This window comes from Homo sapiens, chromosome 20 (assembly GCF_000001405.40).
Source record: "Homo sapiens chromosome 20, GRCh38.p14 Primary Assembly".
NCBI lineage: Eukaryota > Metazoa > Chordata > Mammalia > Primates > Hominidae > Homo > Homo sapiens.
Genome location: NC_000020.11, coordinates 44,395,872 through 44,419,990, shown reverse-complemented (window position 1 = coordinate 44,419,990; position 24,119 = coordinate 44,395,872). Strand labels below are relative to the sequence as shown.

Sequence of the window (24,119 nt, the reverse complement as noted above, 5' to 3'; positions counted from 1 at the left end):
CTGTCGTTAACATGAGATGAGGCTGTGAACTCAGTGTACAGAACCCAATAGGAGAAGTCTGGCAGAGCGTTCTGGAGAGAGAGTCAGGGATGGCTTAGGAGGTGTGCACTGTACCTGGGTCAAAGAAGATGATGGCTTTGAGGTAGGCATACTCATTGTCATCGATCTGCAGCTCCTGGAAGGGCAGCACCAGCTCGTCAAGGATGCGTATGGACACCCGGCTCATCTCCGCCAGCTCCGGGCAGTGCCGAGGGACAATGTAGTCATTGCCTGGAAGGGTTGGGAGGGAGGGAGGATGGGAAGTCACCTTGGGTTGACCCCTCTCCTCTAGTTTTGGCTTTTAAGTTGGCAAGATAGCTGGTGCCTGTGGGAGGAGGACCTGCAGGGATGGTGACTCCCATTTCACAGGTAAGGAAGCTGAGGCCCAGATTCAGAAGATAAGCTGCCTTGAGTCATCCGGCTGAGCTTGGAACTTGGCTTTCTAGGACCTCTTTCACATGACCCAAGCTCCATTTACCAACATGACTCACAAGATCGATGACATTCAAAGGTCACCTGATAGGCACCAAAGCATCAAGGTTAAAGGACCAGATTCTGGAACTGCACTGCCCTGCTTAAATGGCTCTGCCCCTGATAGCTGGTTATAGTTGGATAAGTTACTTAACCTCTCTGTGCCTCAGTTTTCTTATCTATAAGATGAGGATAAATAATCGAGCTTCCCTCATAGCATTGTTATATTAAAATAGGTAGTGTTTGCAAAGCAGTGAGCACAGTCCCTGGCACACAGTGTGTGCTGTACAAGCGTTTAAAATAATAACTATGCCATGAAGGCACAGGTGACGCGGGCTGGGGCTTTGTGCCATTCTTAACCACCTCTTGCTCCTACTCCAGAAAGAACATCAGAATGCACAGGTAGGCCAGGCGCGGTGGCTCACACCTGTAATCCCAGCACTTTGGGAGACTGAGGCGGGTGGATTATTTGAGGCCAGGAGTTTGAGACCAGCCTGGTCAACATGGTGAAACCCTGTCTCTACTAAAAATACAAAAATTAGCTGGGTGTGGTGGTGCACGCCTGTGGTCCCAGCAACTCTGGAGGGTGAGGCAGGAGAATTGCTTGAACGTGGCGGGTGGAGGCTGAAGTGAGCCGAGATCACATCATTGCACTCCAGCCTGAGTGACAGAGCAAGACTCTGTCAAAAGAAAAAAGGATGCACAGGTAATTCCAGGGATAACCCTGATCGTGCTCTGACTTCAATGCTGGGAATTTGGTGACTTGCATCCACATTTCCTTGCATCTGAGTGGGGTACCCAGTTGAAAACTGAGTCCTGGAGCCCTCTAATGCAAGCCTGAGGACAGGGCCACTCCTGACTAGTCTCCCTCACCCTTGCATGCCACCATGTGAATCTCCTTGCCTGGGTGAGTGCCATGCTAGGCATACCCTCCCTGGAGCCCTGGCCAGGGCAGGCAGCCGCCTCACCTAGGAGCAGCACGTCCTTGAACACCATGGATCTCTTGGTGGCTCCGAGCAGCAGGTGCTCGCCAGCATGGGCTCTGAGCAGGGCCACCTGAAAGAGAGAAGGAACAGTGTTTGCCATCTGTACCCTTGGGAAGGCTGCCCGTAGCCAACTCAGTGACGCTGGGCAAGTCAGCTTAATGCTCCCCTCTGCCTCTACCTGCCTGAACTGTGAAATGGGCATCATAAAACTACTACCCATAAAACTAGAAACCTGGAAGGGGAAAGAACATGTGCTCAGAGCTGAGAGACCTCGCGCTGACTCTGTCCTTGAACTGCTGTGTCCTTGGGCAAGAAACTGCTTCGTGCTGGGCCTCTTCTGTGTGCCTGATGAAACTGTAAGCAACATTCTGTGTGCTTTTTTTTTCTTTTTTGAGATTCTCAAAAAGGTCTATGATCCCAAAAAGTTCCAAAACTGTGGGTCCCAAATTCCCACCCATGGACCAGCTATGGAGAATTATGAAGGGTGCTTTGTAAAAATACAGATTCTATTTTTTTTTTTTTTTTTGAGACAGAGTCTCACTCTGTCACCCAGGCTGGAGTGCAGTGGCATGATCTCGGCTCACTGCAGCTTCCGCCTCCCAGGTTCAAGTGATTCTCGTGCCTCAGCCTCCAGAGTAGCTGAGACTACAGGCGTGCACCACCATGCCTGGCTAATTTTATTTTTAGTAGAGACGGGGTTTCACCATATTGCCAGGCTGATCTCGAACTCCTGACCTCAGGTGATCAGCCCAACTCAGCCTCCCAAAGTGCTGAGATTACAGGTGTGAACCACTGCGCCCGGCCTGAAAATACAGATTCTTAGGCCCTGAGATTCTGATCCTGATTTTGTATGTTTAGGGTGGGCCCAGGGATCTGTGTTTAAAAAGCTCCATAGTTGACTCTGAAGTGCAATTCTGTTTGGGAAATCATTGGTCTGGCAGATCCCTCCAGGGATCGACATTGCAGGACTCCAGGATTCTGAGAGGGCATTACAAGAACTTGGATGTGGATGTTAGGTCTCAGGGCTGGTCCTTCTCAGAGCAAATGTATGAGCACTGGCCCCTGGCAGAGAATCAGCTTGATGAAACCATTCTCTGCAGGGGGTACAAGGCAAGACTTCTAAGACTGGAGTCATAGGTAGGGGCCCAGCAAGCTCACAGAAGGACATAGCCAGCCCACTGAGAGCCATCTGCTTTAGTGCTTGCCTGAGGACCAAAGGATGGCTTGAAACAAAACAGCACCAGGCTGGTAGCCTCAAGGATCTCATCTTCTCATCTTCAAGGTTGGGTTAGGGAGTTTGGAGGTTCCATAGCAAGCCAAACTAGAAGGTTAAAATCCTTTGTTTGTTCATTAATTTGATTGTTCATTCTTTCAGTTATCAAATCCTAAATGCCTACTAAATGCCAGACACTTTTTAAGACAATGGAGGCACAATGTTTAAAAACGAGAGACAAGGTCTCTAATCTCATCGAACTAACATTTATAGGAGAGAGGATGAACAGATAGTAGAGAACAAATAAGTACAGAGGACACAGGGTGATCACAGCATAAAGGAAAGAAGGAAGGAGAAAAGGTGGGAGGAAGGGAAGGAGGGAGGGAGGGGAGTGGAAAGGATGGTGAGAGCAATGGGGCAAGAATGGCTACGTTAGATGGGGAGGTCAGAGAAGGCCTCTAAGGAGGTGAAATTGTTGTTAGAGGAAAGAAGGCATTTGTCTGAAGATATTTGGCACAAAATAAGCCTTCAATAAATATTTGAATGAAGGAAGGAAAGGGGAAATGAATGAATGAATGAGCAAACATCTTGACTTCCTCTCTAGCTCTAGCTGCTCCTGGGCAGCCACTTGTCCTTGCCCCTTCTATTCCCCATGGATAGAAACCTGTGAGGAAAACAGAAAAAGAGGAAACTGCCTGGGAGGGAAAATCCACTTTCCATGACCAGTATGGAGGGAGGCCGAGGATGCTGATTGCCAAGCGCCTCCTGCGCACTGGGCACTGTGCAAGTCTTTCATCAGTCACTCCAGTGGCCTTCACATCGCGAAGCGGAAGACCTGGATTTGAATCCCAGTTCTGTCGCTAACTTGCTCTGTGACTTCAGGCAAATTTCTGTCTCTCTCTAAGCCCCAATCTCTTTCTGCAATTGTATCCAGGCCCAAGAAGCACACCAACTGGGAATCTAGTTTCTGGGGCAATGTCAACAAAATTGGGAAGCCCTTTGGAGGACAATGCCCCCGACTTTCCCAGGGATGCCCCACCTGCATTGGGCAAGCTGGGCTCCTCATATACCAGGAATGGGGAGCTGGGAACCCTTCTGATCCCAGGTTCAACCCCCTGATATGGCAGCTGTTCTGGGGGGTGGGCCGGGAGGTCGGGGTGGTGTGTTAATGATTGTCCTGTGTTATTGGCCACCCATCATTGCTCTCTGAGAATGCTCTGAGCCCCAGCCAGGGAGGTTTGGGTGGGAAATCGAGGTTAACAATTGCTCAGGTTGGGGGTATCTTGTTGCCCTGCTAAGCCCCTGGGAAGGAACAGGAGGGATTAAACATTAATGTAGAGACTCCAGCAGAGGGGACTGGGGCCAGAGCACAAGGAACAGGGGAGAGGGTAGGGGCGGATTGTCCAAGATCCTTGCCCTGTCGACTCTGCTAATGGAAGGAGGAACCATGGAAGAGGGCCCCGGGTCCAGCCCCTGTATGAGGCTGGGGACAAGCCAAACCAGCGTTTTCACAGTGTCCCAATGTGCAGTATTAATAGGTGTTCCAGGAGAATCTTGCCGAAGGAGTTTGAGAAGCCTCGGCCTCTGCAAAGTCAAACAACTGCCTGGACGAGACTTCTCAGAAGCTTTCACAGACTCACATGCATTGTCAGTGTCTTATGCAAAGGTGCGAAACGGGTAAGCGAATGCACCAGAGTCTGTCTCCGAAGCTGAGAAGGTGGCCCAGCCCAGCTCCTCTTCCCCAGATGGGTAACATCTCTTTGGAGGCCCAGGGGTGCTCTGGGCAGGAGCTTCATAGGTGGCATCTCCGAAATTCATCTGTCCTCAGACACACGCCACCTTCCTTCAACCCTTTCTTCCCCCTAGGGACATTTCAGTATTCCAAAAAAATGTACGGTGGGAAATATGATGCTCAGTTCAATTGTTTTGGTGGGAAACACGATGCTGAGTTCAATCGTTTTGGTGGGAAACAAGGAAGAAACTAATGTTTAGGGAGACCAGCTCTGGTCTGGCCACTGTGCAGCTTGCCCCATCACCTGATTTTTGTACTTTTCAGACACCAATGTCCTCAATCCTCCCAACCACACTCTAAAGTGGATATTATCATTTCCACTTTACAGATAAGAGAACACTGAGGCTCAGAGAGAGGAACTCATTTGCCCAGGATTAGGCAGACAACCAGTCTTAGAGCCATAGCTTAAGCCAAAATCTCCTGATCCCTGTCCTAGGGTCCCTGTCAACATCCCCCTGGGAGAGCCTCAGGTACAATGGTCAGGAGCTTGGACTTTGGAGCTTCCTGCCAGGTTCTAATCCCAGCTATGCTGGATAGTAGCTATGTGACCTTGAGCAGGTTACTTAACCTCTCTGTGCCCCAATCTCCTCACCTATGAGATGGCAGTAATAATAGTACCTTAGTACCTACCTCATAGAGTTGTTGGAGGAGCTAACTGAGTTAATATTTGTAAGGTGATTTAAAGTTTCAGACACGTGTGTGCACTACATATTTTGTTAAATAAAATAAAATCAAGCCAGTCCACGGCTATATCCCAGGTGGGCCAGCAGCCCCCTGGCTGCCCCGCCCACTGCCCACTACTGCCCACCATCCACGCCCATCCTCACCTGGTCGTCCAGGGGGAGCTCGCAGAAAGCTGGGATGTACTTGGCCCACTCAACGAGAACCAGCAGCTGCTCCTTCATGGACTCACACACATCTGCGATGCTGGCAATCTTCTTCGCCCGAATGTCGCCGTTGATCCCGGAGACGGGGGAGGTGATCTTCGAGAGATACAGGGAAGAAAATGCTGGAGATGTCCGGGCCCTCCCGCACTCTCTGTCCCCTGCACAGAGCCCCCTCCCTGGAATCAGATGTGGGGAGGGGGCTGGATAGTGGGTGCCCTCCAGCTCTGAAGGAAGCTCAGGGTAAAAACGGAGGGAGGGAGGAGGCAGGGATGAGGGAGAAGGGCTCCCTCTGTGCCTTCACCTGTTACCTGCCCCCTGCCCCCTCCTCTGTCAGCTTTAGAGCCCCAAGGAGTCTGTCAGCCTTAGAGGAGAAGCAGGGCAAAAAATCATCATCCTTTTCTGACAATGAGGCAACCATGGCTCAGAGAGGTGCTGTGACTTGCCCAAGGTCACTCAGCAAGGGAAGGGCTGGGCCCCACTTTGCCACCTCTCTCCACTGAGCCACTGCTCTGTTCTCTCGGAGCTGAGCTGATCGCAGGCCCTCAGTGAAGGTGAAGACTCTGCTTGGCCTGTGGGATGCAGGCAGTAGGATGAATTAGAAAGTGCCCCAGGGCGCCAGGTTCGATTCCTGCCCTTGCTGCAAACTGGGCCATGTGAAACCGGACTCAGTGTCCCTTCTGTAATATCTGAGGCCCCTCCCGTCAGCTGCTCCAGGGCCTGGCTGGGGAGAATGGAGGTGGAGGAGGTGAGCTCCTCTGTAGTGTGGGGGATCCCTGGGTGGGTGGCAGGATCACCCCGGTACCTGTCGGGACAGGACCTCCGCCTGCAGGAGCGCATTGATGGAGGGCAGGCTGCTGTCCTCATAGCTTGACCTTCGAGTGCTGATCCGGTCCCGCTCATTCTGGACGGCTGTGAGGAGGCACAGAGAGGTGAGGAGGGAGAACAGGGATGGAGTAGGGGGTGGGGGTGTCTGTGACTGATGAGGAGTGGGAGCAGGAGGTGGGGGGTGTCCAGAGAACAGGCCCACATCAGCATGTGGAATGAGGGGAGATGGCCTCTAACTCAGCTGGTGGAAGAACTTTCCACATATCACAACTGCCCCCAACACAATGGAGAGGCTATAAGAGTGATCCACCCATCAGCAGGGGCGCGCAAGACAGTGAAGACTCGGCTATGGGTTTAAAATTGGTCTTGAGCATTGAGGAGGGGATCTGACTAGCTTAAAGATGTTCAAGCTCTGGTCTACAAAAGGGTCCCTTTCTTTCCAAATGAAAGTGAGTAAAGCAAGCAAAACAAATTACTCTGGGTGACAAGGAGATGGCCTGGGGATTCCTGAACAAGAGGATCTGGGGGCTCCAACTGCCTTGATGGTTTTGTCCATCAGCAGGAGCTGCATGTACTCCAGACTAACCTCAGCATCAGCAAGGCCAGGCGCTGTCTCCCTCCCTCCCACTGCTGCTCTGTTCCAGGCACTGAGGGATCTGGAGCCTACGCCCACCGGGGCCCCAGGCTCCACTGCCTGCTCCCATCTGGGTCAGTCCTGGCCTGAGATAGAAGATGATCCTTCCACCATCCCGACAGTGGATGGGATAGCCCTTGGAGTCCAAGAGGCCTCACTGTGGAATGAGGCTTGGCTGATTCAGAAAGGAGGGAGGTTGAAGCTGCACCAGACCCGGCTTCCTGTCTGGAACCTGCCACTCTGTGTGCCGGTGGCAATCGCAGCCTCTCTCTGGGGCTCAGTTTCCCTACCCGTAGGCATTTCCCTGCCAGCCGGCTCCCTGCACTCTTTCTCGTCTCAGGGACTGGCATCAAGCCTGGCCACCTTCCTTGGCTTCCCCTCACACCCCAGTGCTGTCGTGATCCTGACAAACAGACCTGCTGCTCCCTCCCTGCTCCCAGGCCCGCTGTCTCTCCTGGATTAGATCAGCCTCCTCCTGGGCTCTGCTTCTGCCTTGCGCCTGCAGTCTGTGTTCCTCTCAGAGACAGAGGGATCCGTTCAAGTCATGTCGCCTGCTGCTCAAAACCAGTGCCTTCCAACCTCACAAGTCCCCAGGGCCCTTCCTCTCCTCTCGGATCGCACCTTTTACCGGCTTCCCCCTACACACTCTGTCCGCGAAAACCCGCCTCCCCACCTGGACGCATCCGCACGCTTGTAGGCTGCTGTGGTCACTGCCTGGGGTTCCCTTTCCTGCACAGCGCAGCAGCATCTTCATTTCACTCCTGCCTCTGCACAAATGTCGCCTTTCAGACACCCTCTCCAGCCACCCTGTCTAACACAACATGACTCCCACCCTGGCCCTGCCCCCCATGCTTTATTTTTCTTCAAGTCACTTATTGTAGAATTATTTGTTACTTCCTTTACTATCTGTCTCTCTCTGAGAAGGAAAGCTTCAGAAGGCCAAAACTCCATCCCTCTAGTTCACTGCTGTAGTCCCAGCCACCAGAACAGGGCCTGGTTCACAGTAGGTACTCAATGAATATTTGTGCAGTGAGAGAACGAAGGCATTGGAAGAGACAAGCTCTAATTCTTTTTCTTTTTTTTTTTCGAGATGGGGTCTCATTTTGTTGCCCAGGCTGGACTGCAGTGGTGCAATCATAGCTCACTGCAGCCTCAACCTCCTGGGCTCAAGCGATCCTCCTGCCTCAGCCTCCCGAATAGCTGGGATTATAGGCGTGTGCCACCACGCCTGGCTAAATTTTTTTTTTTTTTTGAGAGACGGGGTCTCATTAGGTTGCCCAGGCTGGTCTCGAAAACCTGGCTTTAAGTGATCCACTCAGCCTCACAAAATGCTGGGATTACAGGTGCGAGGCACCACACCTGGTCATAAACTCTAATTCTTATAAGAACCCTATTTCTCCAGGGAACATTGACACCCCAGCTATTCAACTTTCTCTTGATGTTGACACATTGTTAAAATCAGAGAATAAAAGTCAAATCCTTTGCACTTGAGCCCGGGAGTCAGTGGATAGAACAGAAGTCCAGAGGCAAGCAACCTCCTCTCAGACCACCATGTGGACGGGGCCAGCTCAGAGCACGGCTTCCCTGACCGGGCCGTCCACCCCACCCGCCCACACCCCTCCCACGGCAGCCTCCTGCCAGCACCCGCACCCACCCATCAGGGCGCCGAGTGGCCGGCGGGCGGAATGAAAGGGCTGCTGTCAGCAGCTGCGGATAGGGCTCCTCAAGGTTAGGCGGGCGTTATCAGTGCCCGGCGCGAGCTCAGTCACGGAATGATGTTTTCCAAATGTTTGCTCAGTATTAGCAGGGTCGGGGACCTAATGTAACTTCTATTGAATATTAACCGACCTGGGCAGAGGCGGAGAGGTGATGAGCCTGTCTTCCCAGGGAACTCCTGGGTAGGGGGCTGTGGGGAGCAGGGCAGGGGCTTCCGAGGAAGGCCTCTTCAGATGGCCCCTGGCCCATCACCTACGCTCACCTCCTGCAACTCTGGGTCCGCTTTCTGGGCTGGGTTTTTGATGCCAGGAGCCGAATATTTGTCCTGGGCCTGACAGCTTAGGCCAAGGCAGGTGTCTGTCTCCCTGGCTTTCGGTTGCAGGAAAGAATTCTTGACCTGCTGTTGGCCCACTGACCCCCAGGGTTCTCCCTGGATTCTTTGGCCTTCCAGGGAGCCCCTTCCAGCCATGGTGGACTATCCTGTGGCAGAGACTTATAGGCCCATGAGACCTGAAGCCCCTCTCTGTGGTCGAGAGAAAGTTTCAGCCATCTAGATCAAGAAATGTGCCTCCCAAGCTGATCACTGCAAGTTTCACTCCAGGGAGCTTGGTGTCTGCTCAGCTCTGGGGAGCCTGAGTTCTAGACCTGACTCCACCCCTGACCCGTCACATCACCTCTCTAGCCTCAGTGTCCTCTTCTGTAAAGTGGGGAGCAGGTAGATTTGATGACCTCTTATAGACTCAGCTGGTCTTGAAATCCTACCTTTCCAGCTCACACTTTCTGGTTCTCAGGGACTATTTTAGGGTTTCAGTCCTCAAATTCTCCTAAGGTCATCAAGAAAAAGAAATAAAAACTTGTCCCAACTCTCCTGGCCAGTGAGACTTCCACCGAGACTTTCTTTTGGCTTTGGGAGCTTCCCAGCAGGCTGAGGAGGGGTGGTGGGGCCTAGAAGACAGGCACAGCTAGGAATACCCTCATTTCCTATGGCTTGACCACAGTGGCAACTGAACACTTTGTCACTCTGGCCCGTTCTCAAAACAACCAAGTGACTGCATGTGTCATGATCTTCCAGGTAACCCAGGCATGTAAACAAACACTAGCATCGACTAACCCACGCTCACTCGCCATCAGCCAACTCTCCTATCCTCCGGGCAGCATGTCCGTTTCCCTGGGCCAGGAAGCAAGCAGCTATTTTCAAGGCTGAGCTAAGGCTGAATGGTCTGGGGCTCTCATCCCCCTTCCAGGAGCCTAGTAAGGGGTTTGCTGGCTTTGCAGCAGCTCAAGAAAGGGCCAGGGGCCGGGCGCAGTGGCTCATGCCTATAATCCCAGCACTTTGGGAGGCCGAGGCGGATCACCTGAGGTCAGGGGTTCCAGACCAGCCTGGCCAATATGGTGAAACCCTGTCTCTACTAAAAATACAAAATTAGCCAGGTGTGGTGGCACATGCCTGTAATCCCAGCTACTTGGGAGGCTGAGGCAGGAGAATCACTCACACCCAGGAGGTGGAGGTTGCAGTGAGCCGAGATACTGCCATTGCACTCCAGCCTGGGCAACAAGAGCGAAATTCCATCTAAAAAAAAAAAAAAAAGAAGGGACCAGGGAACAAACACACCCATCCTAGTGGGCAGTGTGACTTGTGCAGGTAGGTCAGGGAGTGAGGAGCGAGACTCATAGGGCTGAAGGGTTCATTATCCAATGTCCTCATTTTATAGATGGGAAAACTAGAGCCCAGAAGAGACAGAAATGTCCCTAAATTACACAAGTGAAAATGACTCTGGATGTCTAATAAAAGACATTTATAACAACTGACCACACGCAGGACCAGGCCACACGCAGTGGAGGTGGGTAGCCATCCACTCAGGAGGGCTGCCAACCCCTCTCCCATCTGCCTGTCACAGACCTGAACTTTCACTGTGAGAGAGCTGTTCTCTCAAACACAGTGCCCTCTGGATGACACCTATGAGGAATCATAGTGCCTAAAATCTTAGGCTTTTGGGATAATGGAATCACTGACTAATACAACCACAGAAATGTTGGAACCTTAGACTGTAGTTCTCAATCTTTTTCTTGCCTCCAACTGTTCACACATGCATCAGGTTCCCATTCATAATCTTTCCCAGTCCACAAAATGGAAGTTGAAGTGGATGAGACAGGCTTAACCCCATTGAAAACTGGGTTTGGGAGAGGAGGGAGTATTTGCAGCTTAAAAAGCCCCTCTTGCCCTTGGAGAACCACTGATATCTAGATGTTAGAATTGCAGCGTTCAGAGCAGGCCTTGGGGACCACCCACTCCTGCATCGGGATCAGCAAGCCCAGATTTTCCAAGACAGCTCATGAGCCCAGACTAAGGTCCCATAAGGATGAGACATAGAAGATATTTCCAAGGGAGGGGGCAGAGAAAACAGGGGGCCAGGAGCAGATACAGGGGAAAGAGAGTCTACCAAAGCCTCCCCTCCCCTCCTTCTCAGTGGGCCCTGGAGCAAGCTGGGTCCTACGTTCCTGCTTCTGGGGTGTGCTGGGGTGATGGGGGTGAGGGGTGTTTGTACCGAACTAGCAGGACTAGACCAAGGTTTGGCTGGTACGGCACAACTGTGGGCTAGAAGGGAAGGTCTGGGACTAGTCGCAGAGCTGGGAAAGGTTGAGTTTAGAGGAGCAGGAAATGAAGAGATTCGAAAATGAACTCGTTACTTTTTTATTTTTTTTGAGAGAGTCTCGCTGTCTTGCCCAGTCTGGAGTGCAGTGGCATGATCTCAGCTCACTGCAACCGCCTCCTCTTGGGTTCAAGCAATTCTCCTGCCTCAGCCTTCCGAGTAGCTAGGACTACAGGCATGCACCACCACGCCCAGCTAATTTTTTTGTATTTTTAGTAGAGACGGGGTTTTACCATGTTGGTCAGGATGGTCTCGAACTCTTGACCTCAAATGATTTGCCTGCCTCGGCCTCCCAAAGTGCTGGGATTACAGGCCTGATTCACTGCGCCTGGCCTCAAGTTACTTTAAAGCAGTTAAAAGATTTTTGCTTCCCTTGCTTGGGCTGAAAACAATTTTAAATGTCCCTGGTATCTGGAGAGCATAAAATAATAGACAGTGCTGAAGTGTGGTCCAAATAGCAGAAGCTCTGGGACTTCAGATCTTCCAAGGATCAGTTGTGGGGCCCTAGGCAAGTTGCTTAACCATTGTGGGCCTCAGTTCCTTCATCCACAAAAAGGGAGGAATTGTAATAGGTTCAATGGGCTGGGCTCATTTCATTTTCACAACATTTTCCCATATAGGGTTGTCATGAAAATGAAATGAACCCAACCTACTGAAGTGTGGAAAAAGCACAGCCCAGTGACTGATACCTGCTGGTAGCAGGAAGCCTGGCAAGACCTTAATAAATGTTGTGCTCTGGTCTTCTCCTCCTTTGTCCAGGATGGGTCTGGGGTCTTGTTCCCATTTTCTAGAATGTGAAGACTTTGGAGATCACGTGATACCCACGAATGAATACTAAGGGAACTGGGGCATTTGTCCCTGGGACCGGAAGCTCAGGCATCGGGCTCCTCTGGCTGTCCCTTTTGTAAAGTTGGGATAGTGAGTACTCAGATGTTTGCAATATCATTCTCTATGCTTGTCCTAACGTTCGAAATATTATATTAAACACACACACACACACACACACACACACACACACAACGTGGCTGCTTTGTGGTGGCGCAGACAGGCAGGCAGGGGTGGTGGTTGCTGGGAGCCTGAGGAGCCAAGAGTGGGAGCTTATCTCTCTGAATCTTTCTCAAGACCAAGCCCAGCCGCTCCCTATGGTCAGATTTCCAGGCCCTCCCTCTTCTCAGCCATTAGCCAGTCACCCTGGGGCCTGCCACTGAGTCATAAAGTGTGGCTACAGTTGTAAATGACTGTCGGGGAGCTGTGGGTGCAGGTGGGGCAGTGGTGGTGGGGCGGGGAGGGCCGAGGCTCACCTTCCTTCTTCATGCCAGCCCGGAAGCATTTCTTGAGCCTGCAGTAGCGGCACTGGTTCCTCTTGTCTTTGTCCACCACGCACTGCCGGCTAAATCTGGGGAGGGCTTTGGATGGTTGGATGGAGAAGACACAACTTCCTCCTCTTAGGACAGAACTAGGGCCCTGGCTATCCAGTTGACCCCCCAACCTCAGTGCTCTCATCTCTTCATCCCGGGAGTTCTCTCTTGAACCCACCAGGAGCTGGAAAGGTGCTATGAACTCTCTAAGAGCCCAGTCCTGTCCTGCTAAACATGGGAAAACTGAGGCTCAGAGAGGCAACATGTGGTCCTGGGTCGCTCTGCTGGTTGGTGTTAGAGCTGAGTTGGGAACCTTGACCTCTGGAGTACCAGAGCCCTGCTATTTCCACCACATCCTATAAAAGCTCAGAACCCATAGCAGGCTCCTGGTTATGGCTCAGAGTTAATACTCGGTTCACATAAGCCTCTCTCTGGAGGGGGATAGGAAGTAGAGGCAGTGCCACACCGTGGTGATGGGTGGGGCCCTGAATGTTAACCCTGGCTCTGCCAGTGATTCAAGCTGGTTGACCTTGGGCAAATGCCTAGCCCTCCAAGCCACAGCTTCCTCCTCTATAAAATGGGAATAACAACAGTAACCATCTCACAGGGGTGTTGACAGGTGAAATGAAGTCATGCGCCGATGGGGCACAGTCTTTGTACATGACAAGTGCTCGCAATTGACAGCTGCTATGATTTTATTATTGTCATTACCCAGAACAGGAGATGCTTTCGAAAGAGGGCTCTCCAAGGCCTTGGGAAGACTTTGGGGTTGGTGGAAGCCCCTGGGGTAGGTGGAACGGCCTGGGGTCAATCTCCTATTTGTCCCAAAAACAGCACCAGACTGGAAGACGGGCTCATCTACTGAGGCTTCAGGAGAGGCCCCATGGAATGGGAAAAACAACAATGGGCTCAAGGGGATGGGTAAATACACACAAAGACTTAGTATTGTGCCTGGCATATGATAAGAGCTCAATAAACGGCAGCCAGTAGCTTGATGATCAGTAAATGTGGTTCCTAGAATAGATGCTCTTCTTGGATTCACAAAGTCTTTTACAAAACCAGAAGAGCCTTGAAGGCCCTGAAGGGCAGCTGTCTCTGGGACCTACCCACTCAGGGAGAAGACAGACCTTGGGGCCATGAGCCCAAGTGTGCCCATTTCCCAGCTGAAGAAATTGAGGCTCCTCACCTGCAGGAGTACATGTGGTTCTTCCGCACGCTCCTCCGGAAGAAGCCCTTGCAGCCGTCACAGCTCGAGGCACCGTAGTGTTTGCCCGTGGCCCGGTCCCCGCAGATGGCACACAGGGCGCTGACACCCAGGCTGTTGGGCGCGTTGAGGTTGGTGCCTTCTGATGGGGACGTGTCTGCGCCAGGAGAGAAGGGAGTGAGGCTTCAGGAAGAACAGAATGTCAGGCATCTAAGGGAGCCTTGCGGGGATCTCTCCAGGGCTTCGGCCTCAGCCAGATCTGGGGGCTGTTCCCACTCCATCACCTCCCCACTCAGTGACCTCCTGACTTTTTGGAGCTTCAGTTTCACATCTGTAAACTGGGGCTGGTTGTGACTTCACAGACTTGTTTCTGAGGGTCTGCGTCTTCCTGTGGTGGAGGCCACGAGCCCCAGCTTTCTCTAGGAAGGCATGAAAACCTGGCCACCTTCTGGGGTGGGAGCCGGCCTCCTAACTCGCAAGGGGGCTGTGGAAGGGAGAAACATTCCCCTGCATTTTCCCCAGAACCAGGTCCTGTCCCTCAGTTCTTGCCAAGGGACCAGGGCTGGGTGGATCTCAGCTTGTGTGCCCAGGGGCCCCGCAAATTCTCTGAGGAACGAGAAAGACTTGGGCCGAGAACAGTCACACTCATGTGGCCTCCTAGGAGGGTCTGGACACATCTCCCATCCCTCCCATCCCACAGGCAAAAGCTACTGCATCTACACAAATGTGAGGGGGGCCGTAGAGGCAGGTGGAAAGAGGATCTTGGGCTGGGTGCCAGGAGTCCTGGGCACTACTGCTGATGCTGCCACTAACTCGCCTGTAAACTTGGGCAACTTCGCTTTCCCTGCTTCAATTTCTTCTGGGCCTCATTTTCTCTAACCATAAAAGGCAGCAGTTTGACTGGTCTGTTTCCAAATTTAAAAAATTTAAAAAATTTAAAAAATTTGTTTCCAAATTTAAAAAAATAGCAGCAGCTGAACCCCCTTTATTTGTCAGCAAATCTTTCAGCAAAGATAGACCCCTTTGAAGAAGATGACAAATGCAATGGGTCAGCCCCCGGGAAAATGCAAGCGTGTGTGCCACACAGTCCACACACACGCACACACGCTACGCACAAGCACACACACGCACCACACAGTCCACACACACGCACCACACAGTCCACACACAAGCACACACACGCACCACACAGTCCACACACACGCACACACCACACACAAGCACACACACACCTTACACACCACAGTCCACACACACCACACAGTTCCCACACACGCACACACACCACACACAAGCACACACACACCACACACACCACAGTTCACACACACCAAGCAGTCACACACACGCGCACACACACCACACAGTCACGCACACACACACCACAGTTCACACACACCACACAGTCCACACACCACACAGACACACGCACACACACACATATATACACACATGTGTACACATACAGTACACACACATGAACACAGAGTCCACACATAAGCACACACACGCTCCACACACATGCACACACATACACACAGTCCACACATGCACACAGTCCACATACATTGCACACACTTGCACATAGTCCACACACATGCATACATACAAACACATCAACACACACATATACAAATGTGTGCACACATACAGTCCACACATATACATACACATACACACAGTCCACACACACATGCTCACATGCACAAACATACACACATACACAGACACACACACACACACGTGTATTCATAGAAATCCTGAATCCAACCTTGGATTCCTCAGGGGCATCCAGTTAAGACCCAGAGAGGGCCATGCACTGTAGGTAACAGCACAGCCTCTGAAGTCCTTCTGCCCAGGGTTCAATTCCAGCTTGCCCACTTTTTAGCCGTGTGACATTGACTGTGTTCGTTTACTTCTCTATGCTTTTGTTTCCTCACTTGTAAAATGGGGAACGTGATATTCCCCTAGGTTCGTTATGGGGATTCGGTGAATTCTCATATGTGTATGTGAAGTGCTTGGCACATAGTAAGCACTATATCAGTGTTCATGAAATAAAAACTTTTCCACATAGGAAAACTCTCGGAGCAGAGGACTTCCAGGCTCCTTGCACAAGCAGACACTGCCGCATCTCATTTCTGCCATCGCAGACTCCCAGGTGTCCCCAGGAGTGCAGCCCCCTCCACTTGGTGAATTATTCCTGGAGATGGGGATAATTGTTAAGCCACGTGGGTGCCCTTTCTCCCTCGGCCTCTCCTCCCCCGACCCCCGGGGAGAGCTGACCCCCACAGCTCCTGGCCATTCAGCAGGAGGCTGGGGAAGTAGCTCCCACCTCTGAGGCAGGATGGGCTGGGGGCTGTCAGCTCTATCATCTCCCCTCTGAGGTCAGCCGAGCACCTCTATTCCACAGATGAGGACACTGAGGCTTAGAGAGGAAAAGTGGCTTCCTGGTGTCATCGCACTGCTTCCCGTGAAGCAGAGCCATGGGTTTATGGTCCAGGCTTGCTGGGCTACTCCAGCCAGTGCCACACATGTTGAGGTGTCTGCTGGGCCTCTAATGAACAAGGAGCCACCCAGGGCTGCTGCTCCATTGGGGTGGGGAGAGGACGGGGGAGAAATATCCTTGGAGCCTTTCAGACACCAGCCCAGGATGTACTCAAAACACTTCAGAGGACAACTTCACATAACCCCAATTCAGACCACTTCAAACTCCAGTGAGGAATGTGGGGACCCTGCTTACAGATGCTCAGAGCCCTTGAGATGACCCATGGTGGGGCCAGGCCCTTTACCAGGGCTAAGCACCCAGGCACCTCATCTTATTTATCCTCTGGCCAGCCCTGGGAGACAGACACTATTATTTATTCCCATTTTATAGGTGAGGAAACTGAGGCTCAGAGAGGAAATTGCCTTGCCACATTCACACAGGTTGGAAGGATCTATGCCGGATTTGAGCCCAGATCTTTCTGGTTCCAGAGCTGGAGGTGGTCTTGTCTTTGGGACTCCCAGTTCAGGGGCTTGGCCTCTGCCTCAGGAGCACACAGTTCCTGGGCTTGGAAAAAGTGATGGGGGCGGGGAGCAGCCCAGGGCAGGGCAGTGGTCCTCGTGGGGCCACACAACACTCCACCTAGTGCAGCAGCAGCTTGTTTGCTATCTCTGGTGTGTTTTTGCCTTGCGCTCCTGGCGTGGTCCTCAGACAGGCCTAAAAGCCGTCCAGCCAGCAGGCCTGGGGGAATGAAGCCTGTTTTGTAGAAGATACAGAAGCCAGGATAGGGGAGGTGACATGCCCAAGGTCACACGTGACTGGACGGCAGGGGCAGGTGAGCACCTGCTGAGCTGACAACAAGCAGTGCCCAGCAGCTGCCTCCTCACCCTAGCTGAGCTGACCACAAGATTCCAGACCTCAGCTGGAGCTGCAGCCTCATACTGGCTGAGTGGCTCCAAGACACAGAAGGAAGCAGGGTGGCAGGCTGACCTCAGCCAGCTGCCTGCCCCCTCTCCTCTGAGGCTGGCCTGGGACCGATGGGGCTCTTCCCTCCAGGAGGGGTTTCCGGGCCTCCTCTTTTCCCCTACCTCCCTGTGGAGAACTGTCCACCCCTCCAGATATGCTCCAGTGATGTCGGAGGGGATGCCTCAATCTGGCGAGACGCAGCGGCAACAAAATCTGCTCAGAGACAAACGGACATGTTGCTGATATGAATCTCACTTGGTGAGTGGCAACAACAGAGTCCTGCATTTGGGTCTGTGCAGTCGTGCACACCAGAGACCGCTGACCCCCGCCCGCAGCACAGGGAACTGCATATATACACAGCAGGTACAAATATGGGCACACGACAAAACGCCCATACAGGATAAAGATGCAGGAAGAACAGGGCACTCCAACAGGTCCGCATGCACAAACGCATGTGCTCTATGACCCGCACACACAGCACACATGTACAAACATCCACAGACACAAGTACACACACATACACACTTACATACATAAGCAAGATCAACACGGGCAACTCCTAAGACACAAACACAGACCCACTCAATGAATACAAAGGAAAATAGACCCAGAACTCACACACAGAGACAAATGAACACACATATGCAAATGGGTTCCTGAAGGCATCACCCCACCCATACAACCTACATGGAAACTCACTATCACACACGAACGCACACACAACACACACAGTGCTGAGTTGGCTTCGTAGTTAGCAAAACTTCCCTGAGAGCTCCATTTTCCCTAAGTGCCAATTTCATTTCCCTAGGAAAGTCCCAAAGACACCGAGAAATGCGGTTATGTCTCCAACCACCATCTCCAGGGATACAACATCCCTTGCCGTCTCTCTGAACCTAGGCCCAAGGGGTTCACGAAGGGGCCGTGCTGGGCTGAATCGCTGGAGCTGGGCACCAAGGGGGAGCTCACCATCACGTCACTGTGCCAAGCGCCAAGCAGAGCCACTGTGAGGCAGTGAGGACTGGAAGGGCCTGGGAGGAATAGCCGGGATCGACTTTTGCTGGAAATTGGCCCTTGCAGGCCTCCCTTCACCCAGAATGCCTGTGATCACTGTGCCTGGGCACATGGGCTTCACTTGGCAACACCTGTGCTGGCCTGTAGGACCAACCTACCATTTTGTATCATTCTCCTCCCACCCCAAAGTTGAGTGCCAAAGATCTGCTCCTGGACCCAGGCACACCTGCCCCCACTGGCACACCTGGGCACATCTGCCCCCACCTACCATTGCCCATCGTCAACACCTGCACATTCTCAAATTCCAGGGTGGTGTAGGCTGGGTCCAGTGCAGCACTGTAGTCGGCCATGTCCATGTCGACGAGGGTTTTGGAGAGTCGCATTCTCCCTGCCTCCACGCCGCGGCCACCTGCCCTACCCTGGGCGCCCACCCCGAAGGCCCCCGCCCTCCGCCCTCCCACTGCCTCCTCCCAGTGCCCTCTCTGCCTTCCTTTCAAACCGTCCTCTGGGAAGATCTGCTGGGAGTCTTGGCCTAGCCTCTGTGAAGGGGTGGAGGCTCTGCCGGGGAGGGGTGGGGGTTAATGGTTAATCGGTCCCCCGCCGGTGGATAGGCTGGGCGGGGCTGCAGGGATTTGGCTGTTTGTTGGTTTCTGGCTGACACCCGGGGTGCTAATTACAACTGCTGGGGCCCTAACTCACCGATGTTCAGTTATCAATTGTACAAGGCAGGCATCATGACTCACGGGCACTCATTTGACCCTTGACTCACCCACCCCTCCAAGCCATTGTCACCCCAAGTCAGGCATTCTAACTGATACTATCAGGCACTGACAGCCTACCTCCGAGATCCCCTAATTCAATAACTTCCCAAATCATTGACTTCTACCCTCAATGCTTTTGCAGAGATAAGGCTGCCCCATGGCCCACGATTTAGAAACCTAAATCCCAGGCCCCAGATGCCAATCTTCTGGATCCTTGTTCTGGGAGCTCCCTTCCAGTTCCCCCGCAGTTTCCCGGTTCCCCTGGGAGCAGAATGGACTGGAAGTTTGGGAGGGCCAGATTCACCTCCAATTCCCCGCTCCTGCTCCCTGTGATCCCACCCTGCCCCTCTCCGTCTCCCACAGCTCCCAGTGTTTCTGGCCCAGGCTGGCTCCATCTCGGATTTTCCCATCACATTCTCCTGTTTCCCTCACCCCCACCCCCTCCCGGAGCAGGCAGAGACCTGGATTTACATTCAGGCACCTACCGTCTACTAACTGGGACCTTGGGTAAATGATTCTCCTCTCCGAGCCTCAGTTTCCTTTTCTGTAAAATGTACAATCAACTTCAAAGGGTGGTTTGAGAAGGAAATGAGATGGCATAAATCAAGCACCAAGTGGGGCCTGGTAGACGTCCATCCTCTTCCCCCTCCTCCCTCTCCCTGTTTCGTATCCCCCTTGCCATCCCCCTGTTTCTCTCCACCCGTCTCCTACCTTCAGAGTGGGCTTTGTGGGGGTATCGCCAGTGCAGTCACAGGCAACCCAACCCTTAGAAAGTCCTGGTTCCTGGTTCAGTGCTCTGCTGTGGTTGTCCTAAAATTCATCATGACTTTTGAACAAGGGATTGTGCATTTTTGTTTTGGACGGGGCCCTGAAAATTACACAGCTGGTCCTGGCTGTCTGAAGCTCATGGTGCACTCTGTTCTTCTCACTCCCTCCAGCCCTCATTGCCTTCTGTGCAGACATTTTCAAGGGCTGCCAATCAATCTGGGGAAGTAAAGTCTTGATGTAGAAGGCAGAGAGTGAGGGCAGAGGAAGAAAAGCCTGAGACTTGGGAGGCCTGGGAGCCTGTCCTCCACTGCTGGCTGGAAGGGCAGGTTGGAGGGCCTCGGTGACACCTGTGAGCAAGAGTGGGCGAATTAGTGGGAGCACCAATTAATGAGTGAGTGTGTGGGGGAATTGATGAGTGGGTGAATTAGGAGTGAGTGAATTAGAGACAGGGAGAATTAATGAGTGAGTTGAGTGAATGCATGAATGAGTGAGTGAATGAACGAATGAGGGTAAATTACTGAGTAAGTGAGCAAATGGGTGGGTGAATTAATGAGTGAATGGGTGGGTGAATTAATGAGTGAGTGAATGAGTGAATGTGTGGGTGGATTAATGAGTGAGCAAATCGGGAGTCAGGGCATGTGTGTTCGAGTGGTATGAGGAGGCATCTTCATGTTCTTTCCACTGCTAGAAGCCCTTTCTCTGCCCTGCTTAGCTTTATTCTGTCCACTTGATCTGACCTCTGAAGCTGAGATGACTGGGGAGTGCTATTGCCTGTAGGGAAAGGGGAGAGGGAGCAACTGTTGTGGAGGACAAGAGAGGCTAGATTTGATGTCAGGAGACCTGGGGTTAGGAACTAGCTCAGTCACTATTCCGATAACTTTATTTACATCGTCTCTTCTCAGGGCTTCAATTTCTCCCTCTGTAAAATAGAAAGATGATCCTGGCTCAGTTTTCTGTTAGCCAGGACAAGACTCTGAGGGAGGGAGCAAGAGGCAGCCCCCTGCAACCCACACTATGAGACTTGATAAGGGGCTGAAAGAGACCAAATACCGGCGGGTTCCTCCCATGCCTACCTCAGGAGTATCTGACCTGGCTCCACCGGCCTTGGGGGCAGTGCAGAGGTGGGAAGAAACAGAAGATCCGACCAAGGGGTAAACACAGAAGAGATGTGGAGGGCAGCTCCGGGAGGAGCCTCCAAGGGCTGAGCCCAGGCCTCTGCCACCTGCCTGGCACCTATGGCAGGCCACAGGCACAGCTACTCCCCACACAATCCAGGAATACATGGCCTCTTCCACTCTGAGGCACAGTTCCACATTGCTTAACGGGGAATGTGATCAATGTCATGTCAGAATTTCATTGGCAACAAAAATAACAATGCATTTTTCCATAGATGACATCTTAGATTCAATTAAATAAGGTCTACGATCAACCAAGATCAACCACACCATGCCACAGCCATGACCCGTTATATCCAAGAGCTACTAGGTGGACACTGCAAATGAAGAGCTATTAGATACATGAATCATGACATACCTGACTTACCAAATGCACAATCTGCATGACTGCCTAGGAGGCACATTCTAGATTCACATCCCACCACATTATAACCTACCCCATAAGTAAATCTATCCACTCATCACTGTAAATTGCATAATCTATTACATACATGATTCATTCCACCCTTAGCCAACGCCAAACAGTATCTCCTAGATACACATTCCTCATATAAATGACGCACCACCTATAAGATCTGCTGGCTCTGTGACCTCAGGCAAGCTATTATTTCTTTTGTTCTTGTTGTTCATTGTTACTACATAGTTTATTTAAACCAAGCTATGATAATACAGCTGCCCAGAATCTTTGTGGATTACAGATGCAAAGTAACTGGAGACGTGTCCTTGCACCTATAGTTCAGTAATAGACAGAAAGTTTGTTACATTTACTAAGTACAGAGAACTGAATACACATGACATTGTACATCCATCTTTTTGCTTTGTATTTCCATTTTAAACATATGTATGTTACAACTTTACATTTTAAATATGACTCCATGTATTTTGTGACAATGGCTAAGAACGCAATGATCCCATGCCCCTGAAATAAGCACACTTTGGTCTGCAATGCAGAATGTTTTCATTGGGGTACCAAACAAACCCTTAACACATAACAGACAAAAACTCCTTAAAAATCAGATTTAATACAATGTTCTTCATGTTAGATAAGGAGAAAGAACGGGAGGTGGAAAAGGAAAACATTGGGGTACTTTAAATGTACAGTGTCTTGAGACCTTGAAAGTTTCAGGCCAGGCACAGGGGCTCACACCTGTAATCCTAGCATCTTGGGAGGCCGAGGCAGGCAGATCACCTGAGGTCAGGAGTTCAAGACCAGCCTGGCCAACATGGAGAAACCCTGTCTCTACTAAAAATACAAAAATCAAAAATTAGCTAGGCATGGTGGCATGCCCCTGCAGTCCAGGCTACTTGGGAGGCTGAGGCAGGAGAATCACTTGAACCTGGGAGGTGGAAGCTGCAGTGAGCCGAGATTGTTCCACTGCACCTGGGTGACAGAGCAAGACTCTGTCTAAAAAAAAAAAAAGAATGTTTTCTTCAGGGGATGAAGAGACGTTGGTTCATGGGTACAAAAATAAGTGAGATAGAAGGAATAAGATCTAGTTCTTATAGCACAGTAGAGCGATTATAGTTAACAATCATTTACTTTATATTTCAAAATAGCCAGAAGAGAAGATCTGAAATGTACCCAACACAAAGAAATGATAAATGTTTGAGGTGATGGATATCCTAAATACTTTGCATGGTATGCATGTATCAAAATACATGTGCTCCATATATATGTACAATTATTATGTATCAATTATAAAAAGTTTCATTCCCTTCCTCCAAGGGATTTTTTTTTTAACTAGTGGAAAAAAGAAAGCAACTTCATAACGCCCTCCAGTGAGGAAGAACATTATCCTGACAATGCTTAGGTGCTTTCATATGAGCACATAATAAATACAGGAAGTCACAGAGCAAATGTCACAGTATTGGTTTGGTTTTTATTTCTATGCTTATAAAAAATATTAAGCTTCTTTCTGTGGACTGAGTGGGTGTTAGCCTGTGGGTATTGGTCTCTGGTGCCTGTATACCAGTGACTATTTATATTCCAAGCCCAGGGCCAGCTGTCTGCACAAGGCAAGTTTTTATTTCGAAGCCTTGGTTACTCCTTCTGTACAAGGGGTCTAACTTGTCGTTTGTCGTGAAGATTAAATGAGAGAGTAGATAAGCTTCTTAGCCTCTCTTCCCCTGACCTCTCTTTAGGGGAATAAACCACAGACCTTGTGGGTCAGATAGATCTAGGTTAAAATCCAGGCAGTGCCAATGTACCAAACTCTGTGACCTCAACTTCTACTTTTCTCAGCCTTAGTTTAAGCATCAGAAAAATTGGGTTGATACCTTCTTTGTAGGGATGGTTCAAGCATTAAATGACCACGTGTAGGCATACAGTACAATAGTAGCAATCACTGTCATTGGTCATTGATTGCATGACACACTGGCCACATAATCAGTTGGAATCAGGACCCCTGCTCAGGACAGCTCCAGGTACCACACACCCAGCCATGAACAAGCACTAGCCTCAATGCCATCAATTTAGCAGCTGTTCTTTACCTCTGCTCACTTGCTGTCGGGCCCCAGCTCAAGAGGCAGCAGATTCCAGGGGATAGCAGAGGACCTCAGAGCCCACAGAGAGACCCAGTTGAGACGGGAAGGGATTGCCCTGGGCAACCTGCAGTTGGGGAGGCATGTGTAGGGAGCTTGTGCCTCTGCTGTGGACGGTGGTAAGGGAGCTGCCACTACGAACCACATTGTTTCTCTTTTACATTATAATAAGGTCTAATGTTTACAGAGAAATTTTGTGCTAGCCCTGGTGCTAAAAACCTTCTAGCCTTCTCATATTATCTGCCTGTTGAGATAGGGGCTATTGTCATCCCCATTTTAAAGATGATGAAATTGAGGCTCAGAGAGGTGAAGTGACTTGCCCAAAGCCACACAGCTCGTAAGGGAGGGGCTGTTGTTTGAACCCGAGTCTGCCTCCAGAGCTTGAGGGCTTCACCCCTCTACGCATTGCCTGCATCATGACTCCTGGAATCCCTGAAAGGACTTCGGAATTCTAAGGCACTGGAGCTGGTGGTTTCACTGCCTCAGTCTTGCAGGGGAACTCAAGGACCTGAGAAGTAAAGCACCTTATCCCGGGGTATAGGCAGGGGCAGGGGCATCCTCCACACGCCTGGCCACCCCAGGGCTGCTTGGCATCTTCACTTCCCCTTGGCGCTCACCACACCATTATCTCCTATCTTT

The 24,119-nt window shown here is 51.3% G+C and overlaps 1 protein-coding gene and 1 non-coding gene across 15 annotated transcripts in view; both read right to left on the bottom strand.

The window, feature by feature from the left end:
- HNF4A (hepatocyte nuclear factor 4 alpha) overlaps nt 1–24,119 on the bottom strand; it is a 78,898-nt gene that overhangs the window by 14,606 nt on the left and 40,173 nt on the right. For 6 of the 14 annotated variants that reach the window (NM_001287182.2, NM_001030003.3, NM_001287183.2 and 3 more), the window contains 6 exons: nt 13,759–13,933; nt 12,516–12,610; nt 6,191–6,297; nt 5,329–5,484; nt 1,479–1,566; nt 115–270 (listed from right to left, as the gene is read on the bottom strand). In NM_001287182.2, the coding sequence (NP_001274111.1) occupies nt 115–270; nt 1,479–1,566; nt 5,329–5,484; nt 6,191–6,297; nt 12,516–12,610; nt 13,759–13,933 (777 nt within the window). Of the gene's footprint in view, nt 1–114; nt 271–1,478; nt 1,567–5,328; nt 5,485–6,190; nt 6,298–12,515; nt 12,611–13,758; nt 13,934–17,346; nt 17,438–18,503; nt 20,112–24,119 lie in introns of those variants that run through there. The other 8 variants (NM_178849.3, NM_000457.6, NM_178850.3 and 5 more) reach the window with 6 other exon arrangements.
- On the bottom strand, nt 11,788–11,871 carry MIR3646 (microRNA 3646). Its single transcript, NR_037419.1, has one exon. It is a non-coding gene; the product is annotated as a microRNA 3646 (primary transcript).